The sequence below is a fragment of the Homo sapiens genome, chromosome 1, assembly GCF_000001405.40.
Source record: "Homo sapiens chromosome 1, GRCh38.p14 Primary Assembly".
NCBI classification, from domain to species: domain Eukaryota; kingdom Metazoa; phylum Chordata; class Mammalia; order Primates; family Hominidae; genus Homo; species Homo sapiens.
Genome location: NC_000001.11, coordinates 54293622 through 54320614, shown reverse-complemented (window position 1 = coordinate 54320614; position 26993 = coordinate 54293622). Strand labels below are relative to the sequence as shown.

At 50.3% G+C, this 26993-nt stretch overlaps 1 protein-coding gene across 17 annotated transcripts in view, besides 4 other annotated features; it reads left to right on the top strand.

Moving 5' to 3' along the window:
* Nucleotides 1–26993, top strand: part of SSBP3 (single stranded DNA binding protein 3) — a 188059-nt gene that overhangs the window by 92876 nt on the left and 68190 nt on the right. The window lies entirely within an intron of this gene.
* Nucleotides 7986–8489: an enhancer, noted in NCBI's record as "H3K27ac-H3K4me1 hESC enhancer chr1:54777799-54778302 (GRCh37/hg19 assembly coordinates)". NCBI's record gives its function as "activates a minimal SCP1, AML or CMV promoter by ChIP-STARR-seq in primed H9 embryonic stem cells {active_cell/tissue: H9 hESC(primed)}" and the evidence as "EXISTENCE:reporter gene assay evidence [ECO:0000049][PMID:30033119]".
* Nucleotides 8490–8995: an enhancer, noted in NCBI's record as "H3K27ac-H3K4me1 hESC enhancer chr1:54777293-54777798 (GRCh37/hg19 assembly coordinates)". NCBI's record gives its function as "activates a minimal SCP1, AML or CMV promoter by ChIP-STARR-seq in primed H9 embryonic stem cells {active_cell/tissue: H9 hESC(primed)}" and the evidence as "EXISTENCE:reporter gene assay evidence [ECO:0000049][PMID:30033119]".
* Nucleotides 21881–22381: an enhancer, noted in NCBI's record as "H3K4me1 hESC enhancer chr1:54763907-54764407 (GRCh37/hg19 assembly coordinates)". NCBI's record gives its function as "activates a minimal SCP1, AML or CMV promoter by ChIP-STARR-seq in naive H9 embryonic stem cells {active_cell/tissue: H9 hESC(naive)}" and the evidence as "EXISTENCE:reporter gene assay evidence [ECO:0000049][PMID:30033119]".
* Nucleotides 22382–22882: an enhancer, noted in NCBI's record as "H3K4me1 hESC enhancer chr1:54763406-54763906 (GRCh37/hg19 assembly coordinates)". NCBI's record gives its function as "activates a minimal SCP1, AML or CMV promoter by ChIP-STARR-seq in naive H9 embryonic stem cells {active_cell/tissue: H9 hESC(naive)}" and the evidence as "EXISTENCE:reporter gene assay evidence [ECO:0000049][PMID:30033119]".

Here is a 26993-nt window from a genome sequence, read left to right as displayed (position 1 = left end):
GAGCAGTGGCTCACACCTATTGTAATCCCAGCACTTTGGGAGGCTGAGGTGGGCGGATCACGAGGTCAGGAGATCAAGACCATCCTTGCTAACACGGTGAAAACCTGTATCTACTAAAAATACAAAAAAAATTAGCCAGCATGGTGGCGGGCACCTGTAGTCCCATCTACTCGGGAGGCTGAGGGAGGAGAATTGCTTGAACCCAGGAGGCGGAGGTTGCAAAGAGCCAAGATCGCGTCATTGCACTCCAGACAGAGTAAGACTCTGTCTCAAAAACAAAACAAAACAAAAAAACCTTTTTGGTATAATCTGCCTTTGCCTGTCTTTGGCTTCTTTGAAGCCAGATGTCTTCCCTCTGTGGTCCATTTCTTTTTTTGAAAAAGGCCAGTGTCACCCCATTTCTCATCTCTGAAACTGGCTTCCCTTTCACTTTTGTTCAGTGCTTTTCCACCCTGGAAGTCACTGGCATTTGACTCTTCTGCTAGATTGGAAGTCCCTAGAGGGCAGGGAGGCCTCTGATTCACCTCTGAAGATTCACCTCCCTCTCCAGCCTGGCATGAAGCAGGTACCTGGGACAGGAATGGATGGCAAGCTGCCTCCTGTTGGTGCATTTCAGAGGGGTCTGGACACTGAGGGAGCCTTCCTTCTGTCAAATCTTGAAAAATCGTGAAGTCTGTCTAGACAGTGAGTTTGAAGCCAGTTTCTCCAGCATTAGTCTTTGTGGTTGCTTCATTCCTCAGATGCTTCCCAGGCCACCTGCGTCCTTCAAAGAGAAGAGGCCAACAAAAGAATAATACAAATTTTCTGGAAATACCATGTCTTAGCTGCTGCTTTTTCTTCAGGACTTTTTTTTTTCTTTAAACCTAATAAATTGATGCAGAACCTGCCTCTGGCCATTTTTCCTGCAGGTGGTCATTGTCCCCTTGGAAGGCTCGCGCCAGCCTGGAAGGTTGATCATTAACAAATTCAGGGAGGGTCTGTGTGGTACAAGCAGGAGCACAGAAAGTTGGCTTGCGTGGAGGTAGGGGATGCTGAGGACCTTCCCACCTGTGGGGCTGAAAGTGACACTGAGTGGGTAAGGCTGAGTCCTGAGGCTCCTGCTGCTTCTGTGTTTGGAAATTTCCCTTATAAAGGGGTTTCTGCTTCCCGTCCTTCCCCCAGCACAGGCAGATGTCTTATGTACCTACATAGTGCCAGGTGTAGACCTGGATGGGAGTTGCAGAGCGGGTCACTCTGCAACTCCCATTCACGTCTACATTGTCAGAGGAGCTTTCCATTTAATGGTGAGGGTGGGGAGAAGGTGACCGTCACTGTGCAAGGGGACATGGGCCCTAGCTCTTAAGTCTATCTGGCTCATCATTTAGAAGCTGTTTGAGAAGGATGTTAGCTCTTCGCTGAGCCTCAGTTTTCTCATCTGTAGGCTGCGGATAAGGATACTTCCTCACTTCTCTAGGTTATTAGAAGGATTAGAAAGAACACATGTAGAAGCACCTGCAGGTCCCCAGTGCTCAGGGCTGGTTGGTTCTTTGCCCTTCTACTCCATTGAGCGTGGTCTGCTGCAGCTGGTGTGGTGTGGACAGCCTAGAACACTAAGGATTCGGCCAAAGAATTGCAGTGTTTCCAAGCCTCAATTCGCTCATCCATAGAATGGGAATTGCCATTCACTGGGTTGCTGCGGGGGATAGATGAAATCATAGCAGGGAAAGGTGCCGGATACATCCTGGGAAAGGACGACCCCTTCCCTCCTGTTACTCTCTCACTAAGTTTTAAGGATATTGTAACTGGCATAGGTAAGGCTGGTACAGTGATATAATAGTCTGGAATATCTTTGTAGTGGGAGGAGGGGGAAGATTCCCGGCTTGGGGTGGGGGATGTGGAGAGGCTCCTGAGAGGTGATGCCACTTCCTGCATCTGAAGGGGACCTGGGAGAGCAGGCTATGGACACATTCCTCTCCTGGCAGTCCTGTTCCTTACAGCCTGTGCCTCCAGCTCCTCCACCAGGAGGTGAGACTCGGCAGAGAGCTGCTTGGAAAGCTTTATCCTCCCCCAGCCCCCCAAACTCTGGGGTGTGAAGATGAACTGGTGTAACTATAGCTTGGTGTTTTGGTGTCTGTGAGGAAAGCAGAATTGGCTCAAGCTGCTTTCTCAGTTAAGGGGATTTAAGAAGAAAAAAAAAACTTAATCCTACCCTGGTGATCAATCTGACACCTTCCCTTTGAGCCCCAGATGGCTGGTTGGGGTAGAAAGTTGGCCACTGCTGCTGTTAGGGAACGGAATGGTATAGCTGTATCTCTATATTGAAAATTATGGCTCTCTGTACGCACATGCACATTGCATATATAAAGCCTGCATGCCTGGTTTGGTTTTTTGGAGGGTATTGAAATACTCCCAGAAGGTTCCTGTTGGTTAAATGTCATCCTTGGAGGTGTCATGTGAACACTACCTGGAACCATGTTCATTTGCCTTGGTTCAAAGTCTTTACCCACCTCTCCTCGCTCCCACCCCAAGCCTGGAGATGAGGTAGATGGCATAGAAAGAGGATGGAGAGGCCGGGCGCAGTGGCTCACGCCTTTAATCCCACCAATTTGGGAGGCCAAAGCAGGTGGATCACCTGAGGTCAGGAGTTCGAGACCAGTCTGGCCAACATGGTGAAACCCTGTCTCTACTAAAAATACAAAAAAATTAGCCAGGCGTGGTGGCAGGCAGCTGTAATCCCAGCTACTCAGGAGGCTGAGGCAGGAGAATCACTCGAACCCAGGAGGTGGAGATTGCAGTGAGCCAAAATCGCACCATTGCACTCCAGCCTGGGTGACAAGAACAAGATTTCATCTTAAAAAAACAAAAACAAACAAAAACACAGAGGATGGAGACATGACCTCACTGTCTTCCCTCCTTGAGTACAGCACCCCATCTCTTGTAGACAACTTTGGACACGTTTTGGAAAGTGAAAGGGAAACATTTACTATTATCCTGAGTGACTTCTAGACTTGGAAAAAAGGCTGCCCAGGTCTACACATTTTTTTGTGGTTTGATGCTTTTTTGTTTGATAAACATGTTTATCAAATTATGATTTTTTTTTTTTGAGAGTCTCGCTCTATCACCCAGGCTGGAGTGCAGTGGTGCAACCTCTGCTCACTGCAACCTCTGCCTCTTGGGCTCAGGTGATCCTCCCACCTCAGCCTCCCCAGTAGCTGGGATCACAGGCGCCTGCCACCACACCCGGCTCATTTTTGTATTTTTTGTAGAGACAAGTTTTCACTGTGTTGCCCAGACTGGTCTCAAACTCCTGTGCTCAAGCGATCTGCCCGCCTTGGCCTCCAAAGTGCTGAGATGACAGGTGTGAGTCACCACGGTTGGCCGATGCTTTTTCTTTTGATAAATAGTATATTATCATTACAGTTTAATGGCCTCATATGCTTTATTGAATCATTCCCTTAATTGGCGATTCCTTCCTGTCCTCCATCTCTCCACCCTGCCATTGTACATAACACTGCAGTGAACATCTTTGCCTTCCATTGTGGATGATTTTTGCTGTGATCTGAATACTGAGTCTCCCCAAAATTCACATTGTTGAAGCATAATTTTCAGTGTGATAGTAGTGAAAGGTGGGTCGTTTGGGGAATGTGATTAGGTCATGAGGGCTCCATCGTCATGAATGGAATGAGTGCCCTCCTAAAAGAGGCTGAAGGGATGCCGTGTGAGGATGCAGCAAGAAGGTGCCATTTTTGAAGCAGAGCTCAAGCCCTCACCAGACACCAAATTTGCGAGTGCCTTGATCTCAGACTTCCCCAGCTCTGGAACTGTGAGCAATACATTTCTATTATTTATAAAGTACCCACGCGAAGGTATTTTCTTATAGTAGCAAGAACAGACTAAGACATTTTTATTTTATTTTATTTTATTTTATTTATTTATTTATTTATTTATTTATTTATTTATTTATTTATTTATTTTATTTTTTTTTTTTGAGACGGAGTCTCGCTCTGTCGCCCAGGTGGGACTGCGGACTGCAGTGGCGCAATCTCGGCTCACTGCAAGCTCCGCTTCCCGGGTTCACGCCATTCTCCTGCCTCAGCCTCCCGAGTAGCTGGGACTACAGGCGCCCGCCACCGCGCCCGGCTAATTTTTTTTGTATTTTTAGTAGAGACGGGGTTTCACCTTGTTAGCCAGGATGGTCTCGATCTCCTGACCTCATGATCCACCCGCCTCGGCCTCCCAAAGTGCTGGGATTACAGGCGTGAGCCACCGCGCCCGGCCTATTTATTTATTTTTGAGACAGAGTCTCGCTCTGTCGTCCAGGCTGGAGTGCGGTGGCGCGATCTTGGCTCACTGCAAGCTCCACTTCCCGAGTTCATACCATCCTCCTCCCTCAGCCTCCCGAGCTGGGACCACAGGTGCCTGCCACCACACCCAGCTGATTTTTTGTATTTTTAATAGAGTTGGGGTTTCACTGTGTGCTAGCCAGGATGGTCTTGATCTTCTGACCTTGTGATCTTCCCGCCTCAGCCTCCCAAAGTGCTGGGATTACAGGCGTGAGCCACCGCGCCCAGTTAGAATAAATTCCCAGAAGTGCAATTACTGGGTCAGAAAATAAGGACCCTCCTGCTAAAACCCTTGAATCCTTTGCCAAATTATTTTCGGGAGGGTTGTCTTGGCCAGGTGCAATGGCTCATGCCTGTAATCCCAGTACTTTGGGAGGCTGAGGCAGGAGGATTCCTTGAGACCAGGAGTCCGAGACCAATCTGGGCAATATGGCGCGACCCTGTCTCTACCAAAGAAAAAAAAATCAGCTGGGCATAGTAGCGTGAGCCTGTAGTCTCAGCTACTCAGGAGGCAGAGGCAGGAGGATTGCTTGAGCTTGGGGGTTTGAGGCTGCAGTGAGCTGTGATTGTGGAACTGCAGCCCAGCCTGGGTGACAGAGCAAGAGACCCTGTCTTTAGAAAAATTAAAGACAGAGATCACACTACTGTACTCCAGCCTGGGCGATAGAGCAAGACCTTTTTTTTTTTTTTTTAAATTAAAAAAAAGTTGTCTTAATTTATACTGAGGCTAGCAATAGATAAATGGGTACTCTAACTGCATTTTAACTTGCACTGGAAGTTATTAAACATTGAAGAATCTCTTTTTTTGCTTGCTCTAGATGAAAAATGTTATAACTCCGACTTTTCTACTTTCTGTACCAAACACCAAGTCCATCTGCTGTGTGCTTCTCATAGTACCAAGTGGTGTGTGGTGAGTTCTTTCTTTTCCTTGACTGCCAGGGACTTGCAGCTATGTAAGAGAGGAGGGACAGGCGGCGGCTGGAAACAGAGGTAGACCAGGCATGGTCTTGTGCTATTGTGTGCAGTTATGAGCTGCAGGCTGTCTCACAAGTTAAGGAGAGAGAGTTATGTGGCCCAGAGAGCCTTGGCCTTGAGGAATGGGTACAGACAGTGCTTGATCTGTACAGGGAGGCTCCGGTAGTAGCCTTGATTCAACATTTTGTTCAGTAATGTTTATGGGGGCCTCCTGGGCACCAAGCTCAGTGGGAATAGGGAGATGGATAAGAGCCAGCAGCCTCTCCAGGCAGACAGAATCACACGCGGGGAATTTCTATATGCTGTGACAGATGGCTGGATAGGGTGCCATGGATGATCAGGGCCGAGTGACAAGCTCTGCCGTTCTTTTGTTCTTAGGATTTTCAGCTCCCTTCCCCCTTTCCTGCTTATCAAGGAAGGTTGGCCAGATCAACAAGTATCCCCTCCCTGTCCAGCGTCTGTACCCAGGTGGCTTTGACTTCATACTGGGAGGGGACACTGGAAGCCTCCTCATTCACCTCCTTTGCTGGGACACTGCCAGTTGACCGGGTGCTCACTGTCTTAACTAGGCAGCTCACTCTCCAATTCTGGTGAGACCAGTTCCACAAAAAGAACAACTCTTTTCCTTAAGAGCCCTTTGAGGTCCCTTTTAGGCAGGATCTAAGGAAATATTTAAGTTCATAGAATCTTTGTCTAGGGAAGCATGTTCAAGGTATCAGACCCAACTAACTGCTCATCCATTTAACAGTCTATTTCACAAATCTTTTTAAAGAAAATGTTGAGGCTTTGTGAGTGCCAGGTAGGGAGCTTTTGCTGTCCCCACCAATGTTGGTGAAACTGCACTAGCCAGGTGTAGGCACAACTGCAGGCCACAGCCTTTGGTGACATGTGTGATATAAAAGGGTTGCTGTGCCCTTCTTCTGGATCTCACAGCTCTGTGAAGTGGAGGAGTCCTTCGCCCTTTTTGCTTCCCTCTGGAGTTTGCGCTACATGGTAGGTCCTCAGAACTGCTTATTTGAATGTGTGCCCGCATACACTTCCTTGGTGTGTCTTGTCAGTATGTGGTCTTCCTCCCCTACCCCTGCCAGACAATCAGGTAATCCTGTCTCCCCTTGGAGACTGGGTCTACGTTTTACCTTGGGTGCTGGCCCCAACTCTGCTCCTTAGTAACTGTTTGGCTAAGCCCCCCTTGGCTGGCTCCCATTTTCCATCTCAGCCACTCTGATACCTCATAGATCTGAAAAGTGAAAATCTGGCTGGGAGCAGTGGCTCATGCCTGTAATCCCAGCACTTTGGGAGGCCGAGGCGGGTGGATCACCTGATGTCAGGACTTTGAGACCAGCCTGGATAACATGGTGAAACCCCGTCTCTACTAAAAATACAAAAATTAGCCAGGTGTGGTGGGCACCTGCAATCCCAGCTACTTGGGAGACTGAGGCAGGAGAATCGCTTGAACCTGGGAGGCGGAGGTTGCAGTGAGCTGAGATCCCACCACTGCACTCCAGCCTGGGCGACAGAGTGAGACTCTTGTCTCAAAAAAAAAAAAAGTAAAAATCCTAGTCTCCCTCCTTACCAGCTGCCCTAATATTTGGGAAAGCTTAGCTATCTTGACTCTGAGTAGCATCTGCTTACGAGCACTGCACAGAAGTGATGGGCAGCCTACGGCTGCAGGGCAGGAACACTCCAGGCCCCCGTGCTTTTGTGCAAGACCTTAGGCATTGACCCCAGAGTACTTGACTGTTGATGTCAAAAAGCATAGGCATAGCTACTCGGGAGGCTGAGGTGGGAAGATTGTTTGAGCCCAGGAGTTTTAACCCAGCCTCGGCAACATAGTGAGACCCCAGCTCTTTAAAAAGAAAAAAAAAAAAAAAAAAAAAAAAAAGCACAGGCACACAGCTTCGGTGTGAGCCCCCCTAGTTCCTGGCTGAGGAGCAGGGAAGCCTTGAGACAGAAGAGAAAGCAGGAGCCCTAGACTGTATCAGAAAGAAGGGTTATAGACTGTGCTCCCAGCTGCCTTCCATTGTCTGGCGAGGCAGAGGCTGCAGCCCCCTCCCCCAGGTTCTTCTTTGGAGAACAAACATATCAACAGGATTGATTACCCCGATTGGTCCCTGGGCAGCTGTCTCTGGCCTGCATCTGGAGCTGATTTCTCTGCCGTTGTACACCCATTGTCTTGGATTGTTCACTTCTACAAATCAGAGCTGGCTCCACCGCCCTAACCCTAGCACGACCCCAGATGCTTGTTTGTCGGTGGAATGAACACTTCCTGCTCAATGGAAAAAAAAAAAAAAAAAAAAGCTCCAGGCACACGTGGGCAGGCTCAGGGCCACCTCCCCTGCTCTGATGCAGACAGGATGTTCCTTCCCATCCCACCCCCTCCTGGCCTCCCTCCTGGGCCTGCCTTTCTGAAGTGGATTCAAAGTGGAAGAGACATTTCCAGGAAGCTGGACCAATCAACCCCCACTGGAGGGGGAGCTCAGAGGGGAGAGACACCCAAAGGCTGCAGTATGGCACTGTGCTGTGGGCTCTGGCTCCCAGGTGGGACCCAAGCTTGTGAGGCCTGGTAGCCCCCTGACATGGCTGTGGTGGTCTTGTCTGAACACTGGCCTCAGGACTTGTGACATCAGAATGGGTGGGAGCCTTAAGGATACAGAGAGGGGTCATCTCTTTCCTTTGGGCCCATAGTAGAGGCTGTGAAGGAAGGAGTGTACAGGACATGTTCTCTGGTCCTCTATGTAATCCTGCAAATTTTTTTTTTTTTAAGTGCAGTGGCGTGATTTCAGCTCACTGCAACCTCTGCCTCCCGGGTTCAAGCAGTTCTTCTGCCTCAGCCTCCCAAGTAGCTGGGATTACAGGCACCCGCCACCACACCCGGCTAATTTATATTTTTAATAGAGACGAGGTTTCACCATGTTGGCCAGGCTGGTCTCGAACTCCTGACCTGAGGTGATCCACCCACCTCAGCCTCCCAAAGTGCTGGGATTACAGGTGTGAGCCACCTTGTCCGGCCTCTTTTTTTTTTTTTTAAAGAGAGAGTATCTCACCCTGTCACCTAGGCTGGAGTGCAGTGGTGCGATCCATATCTCACTGTAACCTCAAACTCCTGACCTCCACTGATCCCCCGCCTCCCAAAGCACTGGGATTACAGGCATGAGCCATTGTGCCTGGCCACTGCATATTCTTTAACACACATCCCAAGCTGCACCCTCCTTGAGAAGGGAAGCCCTCTTTGGCCACTTGCCCCCAGCAAGACTTTCTTTTGAAATACTACAGAGCTCAGAGCTGGTGCTATGTGCTGGAGCCCCTTTTCTGTGGAGGCAAATCAGCCGGTGGATGCTGGAGAGAGGCAGTCTTGGGTTTAGGCTTAGATGGATCTGAGAGTCTCCCCAGCTGTGAGTGCGCTGGGCAGGGGCCTTGGCTGCTGTAGATGGTCAAGGAGTCCCCAGAACTGTGGCTCCGGGGAACAACACAGAGCTTGCTTTGGGTAGAGTCATACAAGGACTATTTCTACATGCCACCTCCTTGCTTTTTTATAGTGATGATGGTTTGGCTCATTCTCCAGCCAAAAACCTTAGAAATTGGAGACTCTGACTCGGCACGGGTGCAGGGTAGGACAGGAGGGCTGCTGCTCAGTGTGGTCAGGCTGCCCTCCTGAGTCTGCCGCCCCTCCGAGTGACGGTGGTGATGCTGCAGCTATGGGTGTCTTACCCTTGGGGGCTGTGGGGCTGGCTCACATGCTCTCAATGGGCCCCATGAGGTAGGCAGGGTTGTCTCGATTTTGACATCTTGTGGGTAGGTCCTTTAATAGTTTTTCAAGCTCTTTTACCTCCATTGTCCCTGGAGGAGCCTCACGACAGGTCCTGCAAGTCAGGCAGGCAGGGTGATTGTCTTCACTTTGCCTGGAAAGTTTCCCAGGGCCTGGGGGCCCAGTAGGGCTTGGACCCACTTTGACATGACAGACCCTCCACACTGCTGCCTCTCTCCTTCTTGGCTTCTGTTCCGAAGCAGGGAACACTCCATCTCAGCCCTTCCTATGGTGTTCTCAGCAGTTGGTGCATTAAGTCAGGGAGGACCCTGGTCTTCACTGGTGGTGGATTTCCGTCTTGAGCCCAGAGGCTGCCCAGCGCCAGACCTTCCCTCTGCTGCCCCCTTCTGGGATGGCCAGTTCTCTCCCCATGATGTGTCCCCCACCTTGTTTTCCCATCAAAGAATCGGCTCTGGTCAGCAGGCTAAAGAAGTCAGCCATCGATTAGGGTCCGCGAAATAGACCCAAGCATGTGTGGCTTGGAAGACATCAAGCCACAGATTTCTTATTGCCCAAGAGTTCTAGAGAGATTGTGGGTGGGGACCTGCGGTCCTTCCAGGTGATGTCAGCCCCCACACGGAGACCCAGACCCAAAAGCATTCATGCTCACCACTGCCAATCTGCATGCTCCCAGTGAGTCAGCTCAGCTCCCTCACTGCATAAAGCGGGGGTGGTTCTCCCCCCATCCTCACAGGTGGTATAGGTATTTCAGTTGTTTGAAAAGACCAGCAAGTGGAAATACTGTACTTGAATCTGTAAAATAGTGGTGAGTGGAAGCACAGAGTTGGAACTCTCTAGGCCCACCCACCCAGCCCCACTATTCCACTTAGCTCTTGCTCTTGCCCTGGTCTGGGCTGGTGCTTTGCAGATTGCATCAGGGAGCCACTTACCCCAATTAAAACTGTGAGGGTGGGGGAGGGAGGAAGTGGGTTGGGGTGTGTTGGGAATGGTTTAGCTAATGCAGGTAGTGCTTTTTAAAAGGCGGGTAGAAAACTTTCTTCTCTTTGTAGCTCAATTAAAAACCCTTCTTAAAATTAACCCCTGGGAAGGTGTGTCCGTGGGCTCTCTTTTCTTATGTGTACCCAACTCTGCATTTTCCCCCAGCCCACCCCCCAGTAGAAAAACCATGCTCTCAATGCCTTTAGAAATCTCTATGGAAGGTGACCAGGTGTTTTTTAAAAGAGCTCTCCTCCTGTGAAAAATGCTAGGTAGTGACGGAGCCTGCGGCCCCTGGGGAGAGAGAAGAAAGCCTGGCTGAGAGTTGAAGAATCATCCCAGAGAGGGTGTTGAGGTTGGCTGCGCCTCCCCGAGGTCCACACGGCCTGCTGGCAGCAGCAGGCACTAAGACGGGCATCTTGTCAGCCGGGCAGATGGTGTTCACCTGCTCGGGACATGCTCCCTGGTGCTGGGGCCCTTGGAGTTGCTGGGATAATAACAGACAGCTGCCAGCTCTGGACCGAGATCTGCGGGTATTCAAAGGCTTGGAAGTGTGCAGGGAGAAGGAGCCTGCCCGGGCTTCCCTACATGCTGTGTCTCGCCTTTTGTTTTGAGATTTGTGCTCCCCCCACCCCTTCCCGCACCAACATCCGAGCAACAAGAGCATTTTAATAGAGGACAGTTCTGTTTTGGAAACGACAAGAAAGCGCCTTGTCGAGTGTGACCTGGCCTCTTCTTTGTCCTGCCTTCCCCCGCTTTGTGTGTGCCTGCAATGGGTTTTGTTCCAAGGGGCAAAGGAGTTGGACATGGATTTGGTGTGTTCCTGGGGTTTTCTTTCTTTTCCCTTTTTTGGCAGCAGCTAAAGCTTTTGGTTATTTCTGAGTACAGGGCAACCGGGGAGTTAGGGATTTTTCAGGACCAAACTCCAGGGTCTTTGAGTTACCAAGTGGTGTCAGGAACAAGTGAGTGGCACAGAAGCCAACTTTCTGACTGCCTGGCGTTGTCTAAGCTCATTGACTGTGTGCAAAGGACAAATGATTTCTCACGGTGCAGTCTGCCTTGAATCCTAAGGGGAATGTTTCCCTAGATATCAGTCCAAAGCAAGGCTGGCTGTTTGAGAACCAGCTTCATTTCCCTTTGCTGCGCAGAGAAGGGATGCCGATGTTGTCTTGGTTATCCTGTTACTGCAGCTTGACTAAAAACTTCACTCGCCAATGTCAACTTGGGCTGGCCCGACTCAGTATCATCAGCTCTCATTAGGCTACTTGGAAAACTTGTGTGTTTTTTGGGGGTGGCTCAGTTTGAAATTTATAACTGGCCTCAGGGCAGGGCTCATGCCTCAGTCCTTCAGTCCAAGACCAGAGGGCAGGTTTGTCAAGCAAATGAGTGGTGTTAATAAGATGTGGGAAGGTTACAAAACCTGCTTGATAATCTTAAACTGCCTGAAATTGGTGTGTTCCGTTTGCTTGTCCGCATGGGATGCACCAGTGACAGATGACCCCATTGAGTCTCTAAAGCTGTATGCACATATGCCCCAGTTCATCAGATGAGCATTATGATTTTGTTGCAGTGTTAAGGTAGACCATCTTTTTGTCTCTTGTCCCTGATTATTCTAAATCAGTGAGATTTTTCTGCAGAGATTGCCTTTTTCTTAGGTATTTTTTTTTTTGCAGGGGAGGTGGGGTCACTGACTTGAAGCTCAGGTATTCTTAAAGAGTCCTAGTTTTCAGAGCTAACCTTGGAAAAATCTCTGCTTTCCTTGGTGATCAATGGCTTATCCTATTCTTCTTCTTCTTCTTCTTTTTTTTTGAGACTGAGTCTCGCTCTGTCACCCAGGCTGAAGTGCAGTGGTGCAGTCTTGGCTTACTGCAGCCTCTGCCTTCTGGGTTCGAGTGATTCTCCTGCCTCAGCCTCCTGTGTGACAGGGATTACAGGTGTGCGCCACCACGCCCGGCTAATTTTTTTTTTTTTTTTTTGAGATGGAGTCTCGCTCTGTCGGCCAGGCTGGAGTGCAGTGGCGCAATCTTGGCTCACTGCAAGCTCCGCCTCCCGGGTTCACGCCATTCTCCTGCCTCAGCCTCCTAAGTAGCTGAGATTACAGGTACCCGCCACCGCGCCTGGCTAATTTTTTGTATTTTTAGTAGAGACGGGGTTTCACCATGTTAGCCAGGATGGTCTCGATCTCCTGACCTCATGATCCACCCACCTTGGCCTCCCAAAGTGCTGGGATTACAGGCATGAGCCACCGTGCCCGGCCACGCCCGGCTAATTTTTGTATTTTTAGTAGAGACGGGATTTCACCATGTTGGCCAGGCTGGTCTCAAACTCCAGCTGACCTCAAGTGATCTGCCTGCCTCTGCCTCCCAAAGTGCTGGAACTACAGATGTCAGCACCCGGCCTCTTCTTTGTTATTTTAATTATTGAAGAGCATCTCTGGTAAGGGGTTTGGAGGTTGTTTCAGGGGAAGTTGTGCTTTAAAACATGACTTAATGGATTCTATAAGCACTAGGGATGTTACAGGAAAGGGGTCCCAATCCAGACCCCAAGAGAGGGTTCTTGGATCTCGCACAAGAAAGAATTCAGGGCGAGTTCACAGTACAAAGTAAAAGCAAGTTTATTAAGAAAGTAAAGGAATAAAAGAATGGTTACTCTATAGACAGAGCAGCCCCGAGGGCTGCTGATTGCTCATTTTTATGGTTATTTCTTGATCATCTGCTAAATAAGGGGTGGGTTATTCATGCCTCCCCTTTTTAGACCATATAGGGTAACTTGCTGACGTTGCCATTGCATTTGTAAACTGTCACGGCGCAGGTGGGAGTGTAGCAGTGAGGACGACCAGAGGTCACTCTTGTCGCCATCTTGGTTTTGGTAGGTTTTGGCCGGCTTCTTTACTGCAACCTATTTTATCAGCAAAGTCTTTATGACCTGTATTTTGTGCTGACCTCCTGTCTCATCCTGTGACTTAGAATGCAGCTCAGTAGGTTTCAGCCTCATCTTACCCAGCTCCTTTTCAAGATGGAGTTGCTCTGGTTCACACACCCCTGACGGATATGAAGATCAATTAAGACAAGGTCCCTGCCCTCAAGGAGCCCAAGTCTAGTAGAGCCAGAGGAAGTGTTAAACACAGCATAGTAAGGGAGTGTAGATTCTGTGCTGGGCCCAGACCAGCATTAAGTCCTGGCCCGGGCTAGGGGAGACAGGGAGAGGTTGGTTCTCCCTGGATCAGGGGGTGCCTGGGAGTGGATGTAAAGGTTGATAGAGAAGGTGACCTGGAGCTGTTTTGGGAGTAGAGAGTAGAGCGGGTGTTTGCTGGAGGACCATAGTGTAAGATGATGGGACCATAGTGGGGGCGTGACCATAGTGGGGGTGTGGCCATAACTGGGGGCAGCTGGTTCCTTTAGAGGAGGCCCTGGGCCCTGGGCTCTAGGGCCGGAAGGCAGAAGAAGTAGAGGGAGCACAGTCTGACTGAGTAATGGGATTTTAGGGTGCCCAGGTAGTAGGGCCTTGGTGATGTGTTGAGGCCTGGCCTTCCTCCTGGAGGCTGTGGGCAGGGAACAGCTGGAATGCTGCTTGAGTCTTCATAGTTTGGCCTTTAGAATCTCAAGGTTGAAAGTCAAGGTAAGCAGTAGTTGGAGGGTCCTGGTGGAAAGTTGTAGTAAAAAGAGCCTCGTGTTAGGCGCATGCCACCTCTGTCCACTACCTCAGGTGATCCTGGGCAGTCTAGCCTCAGTTTCCTGCTCTGTGAAGTGCTTTTTTATTTAAAAAAATTTTTTTATTGTGGAGATCAGGTCTCGCTATGTTGCCCAGGTTCGTTTCGAACTCCTGGAATTATACGTGTGTGCCACTAGGCCTGGCCTGTGAGGTGGTTTTTATATTTATATCTTGGGGTTGGTATAAAGGTAGATTAAGAGAGGCAATCACACGAAGCGCTCAGCACACAGAAATACCAAAAAATGTTTAGTATTATTATCTTCTTTCTAATGATAATACCAGTGGCAGCTCCTAAGAAATGCAGGGTCCTGGCCCTGGTGTACCCAGCTAGTGGCTTTCCCACTCAGCCAAGGGATGACCGAGGTAAGAGTTGAAGATGGCCTCAGGTGAGGCTGCAGTGTGGCCGGGCTTTTTACTTCTGTTGCACAGTCTGGTTTCAGATAACCCAGTCTTTGCCAGTAATGAGCCTGGTGTCCTGGACTGAAACTGTACTCCTGTTTGGACTTGTAGCTGTCCCCTGTTCTCCAATGGATGTGTTTTTTGACACACGGCTGACACCAGCCTGGGGCTTATCACACCAAGCTGTGCGTTATCATATTCCTCTCATTCTTTCACTTAGCAAGTGTGTAATATCCACTCACTCCTTGGGAGGGACCCAGTGCGTTCTGTGCTGTGCTGCCGGCAAGACTGGATCCTGGGGGATAGGGGATAGTAGGGGTGCTTACAGTCCAGGAGGAGGAATAAGAAATGAACCCAGGAGCTGCCAGTCTGGCTAGAAGTGTGCAAGGAGTTGGGGATAGGATGGGAGAGGGAGAACCTTCAGCTGGGGGAAGTCTGGGAAGGGCTACCGAGGAATGTGGTGTTTCCCCTGGACCCTCAAAGTTAGTAGTACTTTTACAAATGAGGACTGGGGAAGGGTATCATGGTAGAAGACAACATCATAGGAAACAGCTTGCAGATAAGAGTGACTGGGCTTGGGGTGAAACTGACAGCAGGGAGAGACGGCTGCTAGATAGAAAGCAAGATAATAGTGACCATCTTTGAGCCCCAAATCCAAGCGAGAGTTTCTTTCCACCTATGGCGTGTCTTTTATAATAAATCCAAACTCAGCCGGACGCAGTGGCTCACTCCTGTAATCCTAGCACTTTGGGAGGCCAAGGTGGGAGGATCACATGAGCTCAGAAGTACCAGCCTGGGCAACATAATGAGACCTCGTCTCTCTCTCTCTCTCTTTTTTTTTTTTTTTAAAGAAAAATAACTAAATGATGGCATCCAAACTCAAGTTCCCTGGCTTCTCCATAGCTCCCAATTGCCCAGTCTGGCAAAGGAAGCCAGTGGCCTGGAGCCTGAAACTTTCTTCCATTTTGAAAATGTTCCCTGGCTCTGTGATTGCTCAGTTAGGTGAACTTTCTGCTCTCCTAAACTCCAACTCCAGCCATAGATGGATCTAAGTTGGTATTTCCTCAGCTGTGATGTCTCATCATAGAAAATGGTGCTATTTATCGAAACCCTACCATGTGCTGGCCGGTGTGCTAGGCAGGTGCTGTGAAAAGGGAAAGGAGGCATTTGGAGGACCAGTGATATTGGGAAGGGCAGGGCCTGGGTCTGTGCTGAGAAACTCACAGCTACTGAATGTCTTTATTCCTCGTCATAGGCCCTGGGCAGTAAAGGGTGGTGGTTTCCATCTTACTTAGTTAAGAAAGAGCCCAGAGTTGCTCAGCTAGCGATGGCAAAGCTGAAGTTAGTTACCCCTGGCCTGGCCTCCCACGCCACGCCTCCCGCCAGGCATACATGGTCTCTGCTCGGCCTTTCTCTGGTTATGGTAAATCTCAGCTGGCGTGGAGGACAGCCTCAGCCATGCTGGTGGAGTGCACATGCTCCACTAAGAGCCGCTCCGGGTCCCACGCATCCTCGCTTCCTCATGGTGTCGGTGGGGGTGGTGGTGGTGGTCTTCCAGGCTCTGAGAATGTGTTTCTCTGTTTATCTGTGATTGCCTTCTCAGCAGCTACCCTGCGTAGGCCAACTCATCTCAGCAGAGGACAGCTGAGAGGCTTTTTACAAGGCCCTGGGTTGTTTCCACTGGTGAGGCACCTGTCTGTTCTCTGACAGCATCCACAAACTCAACCCTCAGCCTTGCACCAGCAGTGTTCCTTGTCTAGCAAAACATTCTGGGGTCTGGCTCCAGTGACCCCGCTGGACTGTGCTTTGTTCCTCCTCTGCCTGTGGCTGTCCTTTTACCACCTGCTCCCCATGCAGCCTTTGCAGGAACTGGACCTTCTGCCAGAGTTATCTGTTCTTCCACACTCCAGCCTGCTGTGTCCTTTTCCCACCATCACCTGCAACTCCCTACTCAGCCTCACCTGGCTTCTCTTCCCTGGGGAGCCCCTTCACTCCTGCTGCGTGCAGCTAGCCCTGTGCCCAGAAGACGCCCTGGTCCTTGGAGGAGAGCCCCCCTCCCCACCCCCATCCCCCCAAGAGCTCTTTAATTCAGGAAATTGAGGCATTGTTGTCATGTTCTGGAAGGACACTAGGTGACTGGTTCCAGGCCACTGTTGTCTCATGGAGGCATCATTCCCAGCTCCCTTTTCAGCATGGTAAACAGCCTCGCCGCCTGTTCACATTGCCAAAGACTCTAGGTCGAAGGCTGCCCTGCTGTCCTCATCCTGTGTCGTTTGGTTCCAACATGCCCGACCCAAGTGCTCCCCAGTTGTGTTCAGAACTCGTCATGGCTCCCTTGTCCTGCACAGGCTCAGGAGTACCCCCTTTGCCACATCTTGGTTCAAGTTTCCCCTTGTCTGAAACTTGACAAGGGCCACCTTCTCCGGTCTCCTGTCCTCTGTCTCCGTGCTACCCATCATTCGTTCTGCAAACACGTGGAGGCAGTGCTGTGTGGAGCAGCGCTGTCTGGTAGAAATGTACTGAGGGCCTTGCAGGTTATTTCAGAGCTCCTTGTAGCCACATAACAAAGTAAAAAGAAATAGGCGAAATTAGTTACAGTAATATACTTTAATTATGACCAAATATATTCAAAATAGCACTGTAAGATGTCATCAGTGTAAAAATCATTAATGACATCTTTTATATTTTTTTCCCCCAAACTGCCTTTGCAGTCTGGTACGTATTTTATGCTTATGGTGCGTCTCTGAACCGCCCACATTTCAAGTACTTGGTAGCTGCTTGTGGCTAGGGCTTCCATGCAGGACCGTGTGAGTGTAAAGATTTAAGAGCACGAGATTTGTAGCATGGTGGACCTGTTTAATGCAGTTTCTTGACTGCTGTTTATGGGCATTGTGGCCTTGGGTGGGTGACTTCCCCCTCCGAGCTTATGTGCACCTCATAGAGTTGTCGTCAGGATTGAACGGGATGAGTGCAAGGAAGGGCTCAGCATGGAACCCAGTGCATAGTGAGGGGAAATGCGGGTGATTGTTTACATTGAAGTAATGAGCCAGAGGCTGGCTTGGTGCCAGGGCCTGCCCCCTGCCCCCTGGGCTGACTGTCTAGGCGGGGTTGATAACAAACTGCCCGAACAAGGGCAGCGAGGCATCAGAAGTGTCAAAAGGGATCATCTAGCACAGGGACTGGTAGCAGGAGCACCAAGGAGGAGGGAGAGGTAGTCAGGAGAGGCTGCATGGCAGAGGCGCCCCCACCCCAAGCTCATCTCTGCTCTCTTGGCCTCCAGAGCTTTCTGTGGCAGCACCAGCACCCCATGGCTCCCGTGAGCTCACCCTTTGTGCTGTGTAATTAGCGCGGTGTGCCTCGCTCTTGTCTCTAATTGTGTTGTACAGCGTGTACTTTATTATATCAGGATATAATACCGCTAGCCTGGCAGTTATCTTGTTCACTAATTGTTTCACGTGTCTGTCTCGTCTGCCCCGCTAGATCACCTGCTTCTCCTAAGCAGCAGGCACCATCTTTTGTGTCTTTTGTCTCCCCCAGTAGGGCCTAGCACTGCCAGGGCATGGCTGGGTGTCAGGAGCCTGGCATCAGGGCCTGGGTTCGAGTCCTGCATTGACCGCACTGACTTGGTCTGCAGCTGCAAACAAGTCATACTCCCTCCTGTCATAAATGAGCAGGTGGTTTCTGAGCCCCCATGCAGCCTTAACATCCTCTAATGTGGTGGAGATTCCTCCACTGGTTGATATCACGTCAGTGTTCTCGAAGTGGTGAGTTGTTATTCCTTTGCTCAACAAATGTTTATTGAGCGCCCACTAAGTGTCAGTTACTGGGGAGGCAATGATGGATAAGACAGGTGGTATTTCTGCCCTTAGGGTGCTTAAAAGCTAGAGAAAGAAACAAATATTAAAGGAATAAACACATCAACATTATGCTAAGACGAGACCAACCTGGCCAACATGATGAAACCCCATCTCTACTAAAAAATACAAAATTAGCCAGGTGTGGTGGTGCATGCCTGTAATCCTAGCTACTTGGGAGGCTGAGGCAGGAGAATCACTTGAACCGGGAGATGGAAGTTGCAGTAATCACGCCACTGCATTCCAGCCTGGGTGACAGAGTAAAACTCCTTCTCAGGAAAAAAAAAAAAAAAATTATGCTCAGAGTCGTGAGCTACATTCATTGAGCAGGTATTAGAATACATTTTGCACAGCCTTGCCTGCACTAACTAAGCACCGGGGGCAGGGGGTAGGTGCTACAGTGAGGAAGAGAGGTTGTCCTGTTCCTGTCCTCCTGCTTACAGGCTGGAGGGGAAGACACACAAACAGACACAGAATGAAGGTGTCCTTGCGCACATGGGACGATGGTATGAGTGGGAGTGGCAGGCACCAGGCTGGAAAGAATGGGGGTACCCCCCCACCCCCACCCAGCCGCCCTCTGGAGCTGTAGGAGAATCCAGAGAGGATTGCATAGTTCGTGCCTCCGTCTTCCTCTTTCCCAGGGATTGGTGCCATAGGGCTGGGGTGTTTGTGTTCCTCTTGCCTTTGCACACATAATTTGGGGGAGGCTTGGGTAGGATTCTAAACCCAAACCAGATGAAGGCAGAGCCTGTGGGTGCCTGGGAGCAGGGGTGGCCCCGGGAGCATGTGGCTGGGTCACCCTTTGTAATTGTAGCACTGTGGTGAAGGCCCCGGAACCTAGGGTGGTGGTGGCGGCCGGACAGGTGGGTGGGGGATGCCTGGCTTCCCATCTGCTCAGCCTCGCTTGGCTCTGAATGGATTAGTTCTGTTTGGGTTGGAGCTTACTGTTGTGTGTGTTTTTCATCCCCCTTCCCATTTGTTCTTCTCTCCCTGGCCTGAGCGCCTCTTCAGGGTTATGTGCCTTAGGAGCCGCGAGGGTCCCCGCGTGGGAGGGAGAGTTGTGAAGTGGCCATTATCCAAACAAGAAAGGGAGTAATTGGAGTTTGCATTCTTCTGGGCCTCTATGGAAACAGGGATGTGGCTGGGCATGGGTAGGGGGTGTTGAGACCTCACAAAAGTGGGGCACAGTCTGCAGAAACTCAGGGTACAGCACAGTCCGGATGAGTGAGCACCACCTGGTACAGTGTGCCCCTTAGGTTAGCTTGTGCTGTTGAACCAAAGTTGGCGTGCTGCTGCTGCTGGTCTTCAACACCGCTTTATTGTTGATGAGATTCTGAATGGGCATTAATTCCTTCCTGCCAAATGGTCCAGGTGAGGCTTCTGTTGCGGAAAACTGTTGGCAGAGAATTAATATTATGGGCATTGTGATGTGGTAAAAGATGAGATGCAGGTCTTCTCCTAACCTTGCCGAGTGACCTCTCTGAGCCCCAGTTTTCCCAAGCAAGTGGGGATGTTGATTCCTGTCCTGCAGGGTTGTTGAAGGGGGAAATAGATAAGCTGTCTAGGAGACCCAGTGCCACCTGTCAGATGTGGGAAGCATTCAGGAGATCCTAAGAGTGTCCATCTCTTAAATGCCACACCAGGGGCACAGAGCATTTGGGATGTTGGAAATGCCCGTGGATATCAGTGGATTTCCTGATGGGGTTCAGGGAACTTCTTCAAGGTAACGCAGATTTGTGGGAAAACAACTTTTTGCTTTGCCCTTCTCTCTGAAATAAAAAAAATGGGGTCCATTGCTCTTTTTGGAGTTCTTTCAGTATCCACTGAGAGCCCATCCATGGAATGGACATTTTGGAGACAGAGTAGGTGAAGGCAGAGAAAGCAGCTATGGTCTTGGCCCTCTCAGAGTCTATGTTCTAGCTTGAGAATCAAAATTTCACACATGTGGAACAATTAGAGAAAAATAACAGATGGTGTCTGATCAGATGTCACCGCTCTGTGAAGCCCCACCCTCCGGCAGAAATAATCCTTCCTTTCTTTGGGATCCTGGAGCTGAGTACAGGCCTGTGCGGTACTCTGTGTTGCACTGGTTTGTCATTGGCCATTTGTGTCATTAATGTGTGCAACAGCAAATGTTGACCGAGTGTCTCCGTGTGCCAGGTACCATTCTTGGTCGTTCTGCACATCCTCCCCGAGCACCTGCTCTGGGCCCCTGAGCTGAACTGACATGATGATACTCTCCACTCTCTGGGCTTCCAGGCCCAAGCATGCATCTCGTTTCTGCTGGCCTCCTGAGACCCCAGGCCAGCTCTTCCTGTGCTGCCTCTAGAACTCCCTAAGGGCCCTCTTTCTTGGATATTTGGTCCTCAGTGGCCCTCTCCTGGGTTTGATCTTGCTGTAGGGCTGTTGAGTTGGAGAGGGTCTTTGAGGGCTTTTGGAGTCAATGAAGACTCTGGCCAGCCACGAGTCCAGCACTGCTAACCTTATCTTCTGTGGCGCTCCCTTACCCTCTCTCGGCCTTCCATTTTCTTGTCTTTAAATAGCTAGGATTGGATGGTGTCACTGATTATTGAGTTCTGGTATTGGTGACTGAGAAGGAAGACTGTGATAGGAGCATTCCAGTGTCTGGGAAGTCTGTACAAATGCATAGAAGCTTAAAAAGACATGCAGTGTTCAGGGAAGGAGGAATTATGTCGGTGGAGCTGGGAATGAGGGTTGGTTCAGGCCAGGTCCTGAAGGCCTCGGCTGAGCTGGTGTGTGGCAAGGAGCAGAAAATCCTCAGGTTGTGAGCCTGCCGTGTGAGCGATCTGGGTTTGATCTGTTTGGAGAAAGAAGTAGATTAAGGCTAATAAACTAATGAGGGGCCTGATGTAGTGGTCCAGGCCTCATGTCCGTGTCTAGATGGCAGATGGAGAAGGCAGACACTGGGGTGGTTGTGTGGAACCTGAGAAAGTGGGCCGGCCTGCTGAGAGCTGGCATGATTTGGGGGATTGCCCATAGCCCCTTTGACTCTCATTTTCCTAATAATTTGTTTCCCTGTGCCCACAAGGGTGGGCTTGGGGGTGATTGTGAATAGCCTAGATGTGTGTAATGCATTAAAAAAAAAAAAAGCCACCTCTATCCAAATTATCGACAGCGTGGTGGAGTAAGAGGGACCCTGGCCAGGTTCTGGGCATGTCTGTCTTCTGCTTTGGGCCTTAGTTTCCCCTTTAGTGAAAATGGCAGAGGGTAGGGGAACATCGGACCAGTGCCTGAGGTGTGCTAGCACGCCCCCGTGACTGCCGCCTTTGTTTCCAGGAGTTTGAGGATCAAGCATGCAGGGCAGGGTGGCTCCATTCTTGGCAAGTGGAGCGGAAAATACCAGTGTCTTGCAGCAAGTCCCAGAGGGTGTGGGATGGGTGTGTGTGTGTACTTGGCTAGGCGTGCCCCCTTAACATCTCCCTTGGACAGGGCATCTATGCTAGCCTGGCCTGCAACCTGCACAGAGTCCTGTCTCTTCTAAAATATTGTCTTCCCTATTAAATATTAATAACAACCAAGCACGAACCCTCAGTGGGACTGAACCCCCAGCACACCCTGGGTGGCTGTTCCTTGTGAGTGTTTGTATCTCCATGCCTATCCTCAGCTCAGCGTGGCACCTTGAACAGAGCTCGTGTGTGTGTGTGTGTGTGTGTGTGTGTGTTTTGTTTTTGTTACTTTGGAGCCTCTGCAGAATTTCTCACCACTGCCAAGTTATTTCCTTGGGATATATTTAGATAAAGCGAGATGATGGAGAAGTGGGCGACGCGTATTTGCTCAGGGCTGTTTGCACACGCTGACCATGGTGTTTTTGAAGCTGACGTCCAGGAGCTGGATCGGAGAAGAGCCGCAGTGTAGCTCCTTGTGGAGGTGGAAGGGGTCAGGGAGAGAGTGAGTGGCAAGACAAGTCCTCTCTTCTAGAGATGGAAAGCAGGTGTTTGGGCCCCACACCACACCCCTCTGCTGCCTCCTTTCCATCTGAATGAAGTAGAGCTCTAAAGCTACGAAAAGAAGTTGGAGAGGTAATTGTGAGTCCCACGCTCTGCCTAGAAGGGCAGCTTTCTCCTGGAGCCGGGTGGCCTCTGGCACTGCACACTGATAAGATAGGAAATCAGATTACTCTGTGGTTTGTATTTACTGAAAATCCTGGGGACAGCACTGGCTCCCCAGAGTGGTGGGAGTAGGCAGGTCTGGTACCACACCCTTGCTGGGACTGCTTCGCTGAACTTCCTTCCTGCTGCCCCCTCGTCAGTGTGCCCCTCTTCGTGAGTCTGGGTTCGTGCCTTCCGTGTGACCGTACGGCATGGTAGTGCAGAGAGGGGTCCGAGCTAGGCCTCCCCAGACCTAATCAGCTTACAGTGGGGCAGGGCAGCGCTCTTCTGTGATTCAATTCAGAGCCTCGGTCTGCTTGATGGAGGCAGCTTTAATGAGATTAGAAAGCTTAACCAAGAGGCCAATTAAATCTGGGCCCATACCTGTTTGGGCAGCTGTTGAAGCCCTGACCTGCACCCGGAGGCTTCCTGCAGGCCTCCTAGGAGACTGGTTGGGGAGCATGAGGGGGCAGAAGAGGCCTGCGCATCTGGCCCAGCCATCCCCAGAACCTGGGATCTGTTTCCCCTGCTGGGGTCAGGGTAGAGACAGAACTGAGGAGGGATCTGATGGAACATCTGGTCCAGGAGCTCCCAGAAGCTGGATCCCTGCCCCCTCAGGAAGACAGGCAGCTTAGTTGTTGCAAAGCTCACTACATGATTTTGATGTGCAACCAGGCTTGGAAACCAGGAAGTGAATCCATTCCCTTTGTTTTATGGGTACAGGGAAGGGCCTTCTGGGGGCAGCCAGCCAAGCCTGACTCCTCACCCAGTGCTCTTGTGTGGCATCTTTGTTCCCAGCTCCTTTGATTATCCAGGGTGATGGGGATGGTGGCGTTGCCCTTCTGTTCTCAGACAGTTTTTTGTTTGTTTTTTGAGACAAAGTCTCACTCTGTCTCCCAGGCTGGAGTGCAGTGGCATGATCTCGGCTCACTGCAACCTCTGCCTCCCAAGTTCAAGCGATTCTCCTGCCTCAGCTTCCCAAGGAGCTGAGATTACAGGCAGGCACCACCACGCCCGGCTAATTTTTGTATTTTTAGTAGAGAGGGGGGTTTCACCATGTTGGCCAGGCTGGTCTCGAATTCCTGACCTCAAGTGATCCGCCCGCCTTGGCCTCCCAAAGTGCCGGGATTACAGGCGTGAGCCACCACACCCAGCCTTGAGACAGTTTTTATGTCTGTTTCTTCATTTGTGCTTCATGCCACTGTTGTGAGGTAGGCCAGGCAGGGAATGGTGACTTCTCTTTTTACAGATAGGCAAATTCAGGTTGGACTCCTGTCCCAAATTGGTACCAGACCCAAAGGACCTGATTCAGGGTTAAGGTCTTTCCCTTCCATTACTTAAATCTTCCTTCTGGTTCCCACTGGAGGTGGTGGTGGGTGGTATGTGAGTTTGTGATGTCTGGATCCAGCCAGGAAGAAAATCCCAGCATCCATTAACTGTGACCTTGTGCAAGACACTTAACTGTTCGTGTCACCAGCAAGATAGGTCGGATATAAAATAAATGAGTGGATTCACTCACCTCAGGAGATTGTTGGGAGGATTAAGTGAGATCAGCCTCCTTTGGTGCCTACATAGAGTCTTAGGATGTGGGGGCTTATTATTGTTCCTGGGACAGAGAGCCAGGAGGCTTTGGGGGCAGGGATGGCAAGGCTCTGGGAGTCTGGTCTGCCGGAGAGTGATACCCAGCTGGTCCCCAGGGGACAGGCCACCCTTGGGGAAAACAGGTAGAGAGGGTTTAGAATGAATACCCATTTGGCAAGTATTTCTGGAGCACCTGATGGATGCGTGCCAGGCACTGTTCCAGGGGATGCAGCAGAAACTTGACCCTCACAAGTCGTGTGAGGCAGGCAGTGCTTATTGTCCTCGTTTTCTAGATGACACAGCCAAGGCACAGACATCTTGGGAAAACCGGATTCCAGACCTTTGCCACCCTTGACGCTGGTGTATGGACCGGAGGCCACATCTGTCCAGCCTGGCTGTGGGACTCCTTCCTGTACTATGTTGTAGATTCAAAGTTACCGAAGGCCCAAATTTAAATTAATAATTCCTGTCTTGGCCAGAGAGGACCATGGCAATGGCCTTAAATGGAGTTAGACAAAAATAGAAGAAAAACAGACTGCCTTAGGCCAGATTTGCAGCAAAGTAGGGACCTTGTCAAGAATGGTCCTGCTATCTCTGACTTGCAAGTTTCAGGCTAGGAACGGAACCAGCATTCACATTCAGATCTCTCCAGAGGTTTTCATGTTTGTCTCTTCCAACAGTTGTTTGAGGAGAAGAGAGACATGAAAACCTTTGGGAGTTAAGGCTGCTTTTTGCACCTTTTGACATTTGGGCTTACCAAAATCTGGTCTGTTCCTTAAAGTTACATCTTTATAAAGCAGACAAATAAGGAAGAAGGGAGAAATGTCCCAGAAGAACCAGGCCTAGCTTTGTCCAGAAAGCTCCTTTGCAGTCTCCAATCATTTGATGTTTATTGATAGTAGGCATTACAAATATTTGGATTCCACTTTTTTGGAACCAACAGTCCTGCAGGGAGATAACCTTTGTCTATATAATAAGACCAGGTAGAAAAATGCTGGAAGAGTCAAGGTAGAGTCTCATATAGGATTGGAGGGTGAATAAATCATCCTGCCTTGTGTCCAGGGTAGCCTAAGGGATATGTTAGAATGGCAGAAACTAGCAGGGAGGTGGGCATTCCAGATGGAGGGGAGAAGGGCATGTGCAAAGGCTGGGGACCAGCTAGTGTCCCCTGTGGCTGAAGCTTAGAGTACGAGAAAAGGGGGAGGTTGGAATGGGAGGCAGAGAAGAAAGGCTGAGATGAGATCACAGCCCTTTCATTATCTCCTTGTTTTTTTAAAATCTCTTGTCAACCCAGAGATTGTCCTATATTACAGGGTGCAGCTCAAGTCAGAGGTGAATTGCCTGCCTCTCTGAATTGGTCAGGGAGCCCAAGAGCTGGAGCTCCTGCCCTAAATCCAGTGCTGTGTCGGCTTGGTTAGGAGGCCATTGGTATTGCATGCTCCGTGGGATGCCTCATGAAAGGGACACGGGTGGAAACTGGTAACTTCTAGTATTGAGTTCCAGCTCATGAACCTACTTGGGACTTTAGTACCCACTTGGACTAGGAAGCAGGGGGCATTTGAGCTGGGCATTGATGGATAACTGGGAGTTCTCTAGGTAGATACATGGACCGGGATGGAGGGAGTGGTGAGGGACCTGAGACTTGATCTGTTAGGGGCTGGAGCCATTCCCAGGACGTGATCAGCACAGGGGTGGGGCAGAGTAGGGATGCGGCCGGGGGGCCCTAGTGAGCTGCAGGGATCCTGGTCTCTCTGCTCTCCCCTTCTCTCTGCCCCTCTCAAGTTTCATTTCATGTCAAGTGAGGGACTGAGGAAGGGACGGGGAGGGGAGGCTGGGGGTGATGGATTCCTCCCGCATGAGCTCAGGGCTTGCTCTGTGGTTTGTCTCTGATTGCAAAAACCATGTCTGCTATAAATCTGTGGCTTGGAGGGTCTAGCTGTAAGGGACAGTCCCTAGTTTGGTGGAGGAGCCTCTGCTTGTGGGATGCATTTTCAGGGAAGTGGAGGAAGGTATCGCAGGGTGGTACCCTACACCCTGCTGTTCTCAGCTTTTGTCCAAGCCCCTTTTTCCTCTGCTGTCCTTGGGCCCCACAAGTGGTGGGCAGCCAAAGCCTATGGGAAAGTGGCTCCCTGGGCCAGTGGAGCAGACACTCGTCTTCAGAGAGGCCAGGGAATCCAACCTGTCTGAGAAGAAATAGCAGGCTTCATCTTGGAGATGGAAGGGAGGCTGGCCGAGAGGACTGGGAGAGGCCACTAGGTCTCAGTAACCCACAGAGGCCACTTGAACCCCTTCCTGCACCCAGCTCACTGGGCTGGTCTTGTCTTCTTCCACTGTGGGAATGAGAACAGGGCCCCAGCTCTGTGAGGCCACCCCACTCCCTCTCATTGCTTTTGTCCTTCCTTGGAGCTACAAATGCTTTCCCCAGACACTAGCTGAAGTTGTCTTTCCCATTGTCTTGGGAGGGGGTGATACAAGGGTGATTTCCATTTTTAATGACCAATGGATCTGGGAGATGTGGCCTGCCCAAGTCGTTTGTGAGGGCTTTACGGGCAGAAGGAACAGTTTGTGGCAGGGTGTGTGTTTTGTTTGTTGTTATTTGGAGGGGAGGGGCGAGTTGTTAGGATGTAGCCAAATGGTAAGTTAATGGAAGGTGATGGAGATAGCTAGTCTTAGAGTTTGACCTTTTAGATTTGGTGACTACTCTTGAAAAGCAGGATTTCTTTTTTCTTTTCTTTCTTTCTTTCTTTCTTTCTTTCTTTCTTTTTTTTTTTTTTTTTTTTGAGATGGAGTCTCACTCTGTCACCCCAGCTGGAGTGCAGTGGCGTGATCTCGGCTCACTGCTGCAACCTCCGCCTCCTGGGTTCAAGGGATTCTCCCACTTCAGCCTCCCGAGTAGCTGGGATTACAGGCGCCCACCACCACGCCTGGCTAATTTTTTTTGTATTTTTAGTAGAGATGGGGTTTCACCATGTTGGTCAGGGTGGTCTCAAACTCCTGACCTCAGGTAATCCACCCGCCTCAGCCTCCCAGAGTGCTGGGATTACAGGCGAGAGCCACCATGCCTGGCCGAAAAGCAGGATTTCTGCAAGAATTTTATTTATCCAAAAAATATTTACTGAGCCAGCATCTTCCCTGTGCTGTGCACACCATTCCTGCTCCCATCCCTGGAAGATAGCTGGCTAATTTAATAAGGAATTAACAGTCAGGTGTGACAAACACTGTGCTGAGAAACACATAAATGACGAAAGGGTATCACCCAGGCCTGAGTAGAGAGGAGAAGAGTGTTGCAGAGAGAGGAACC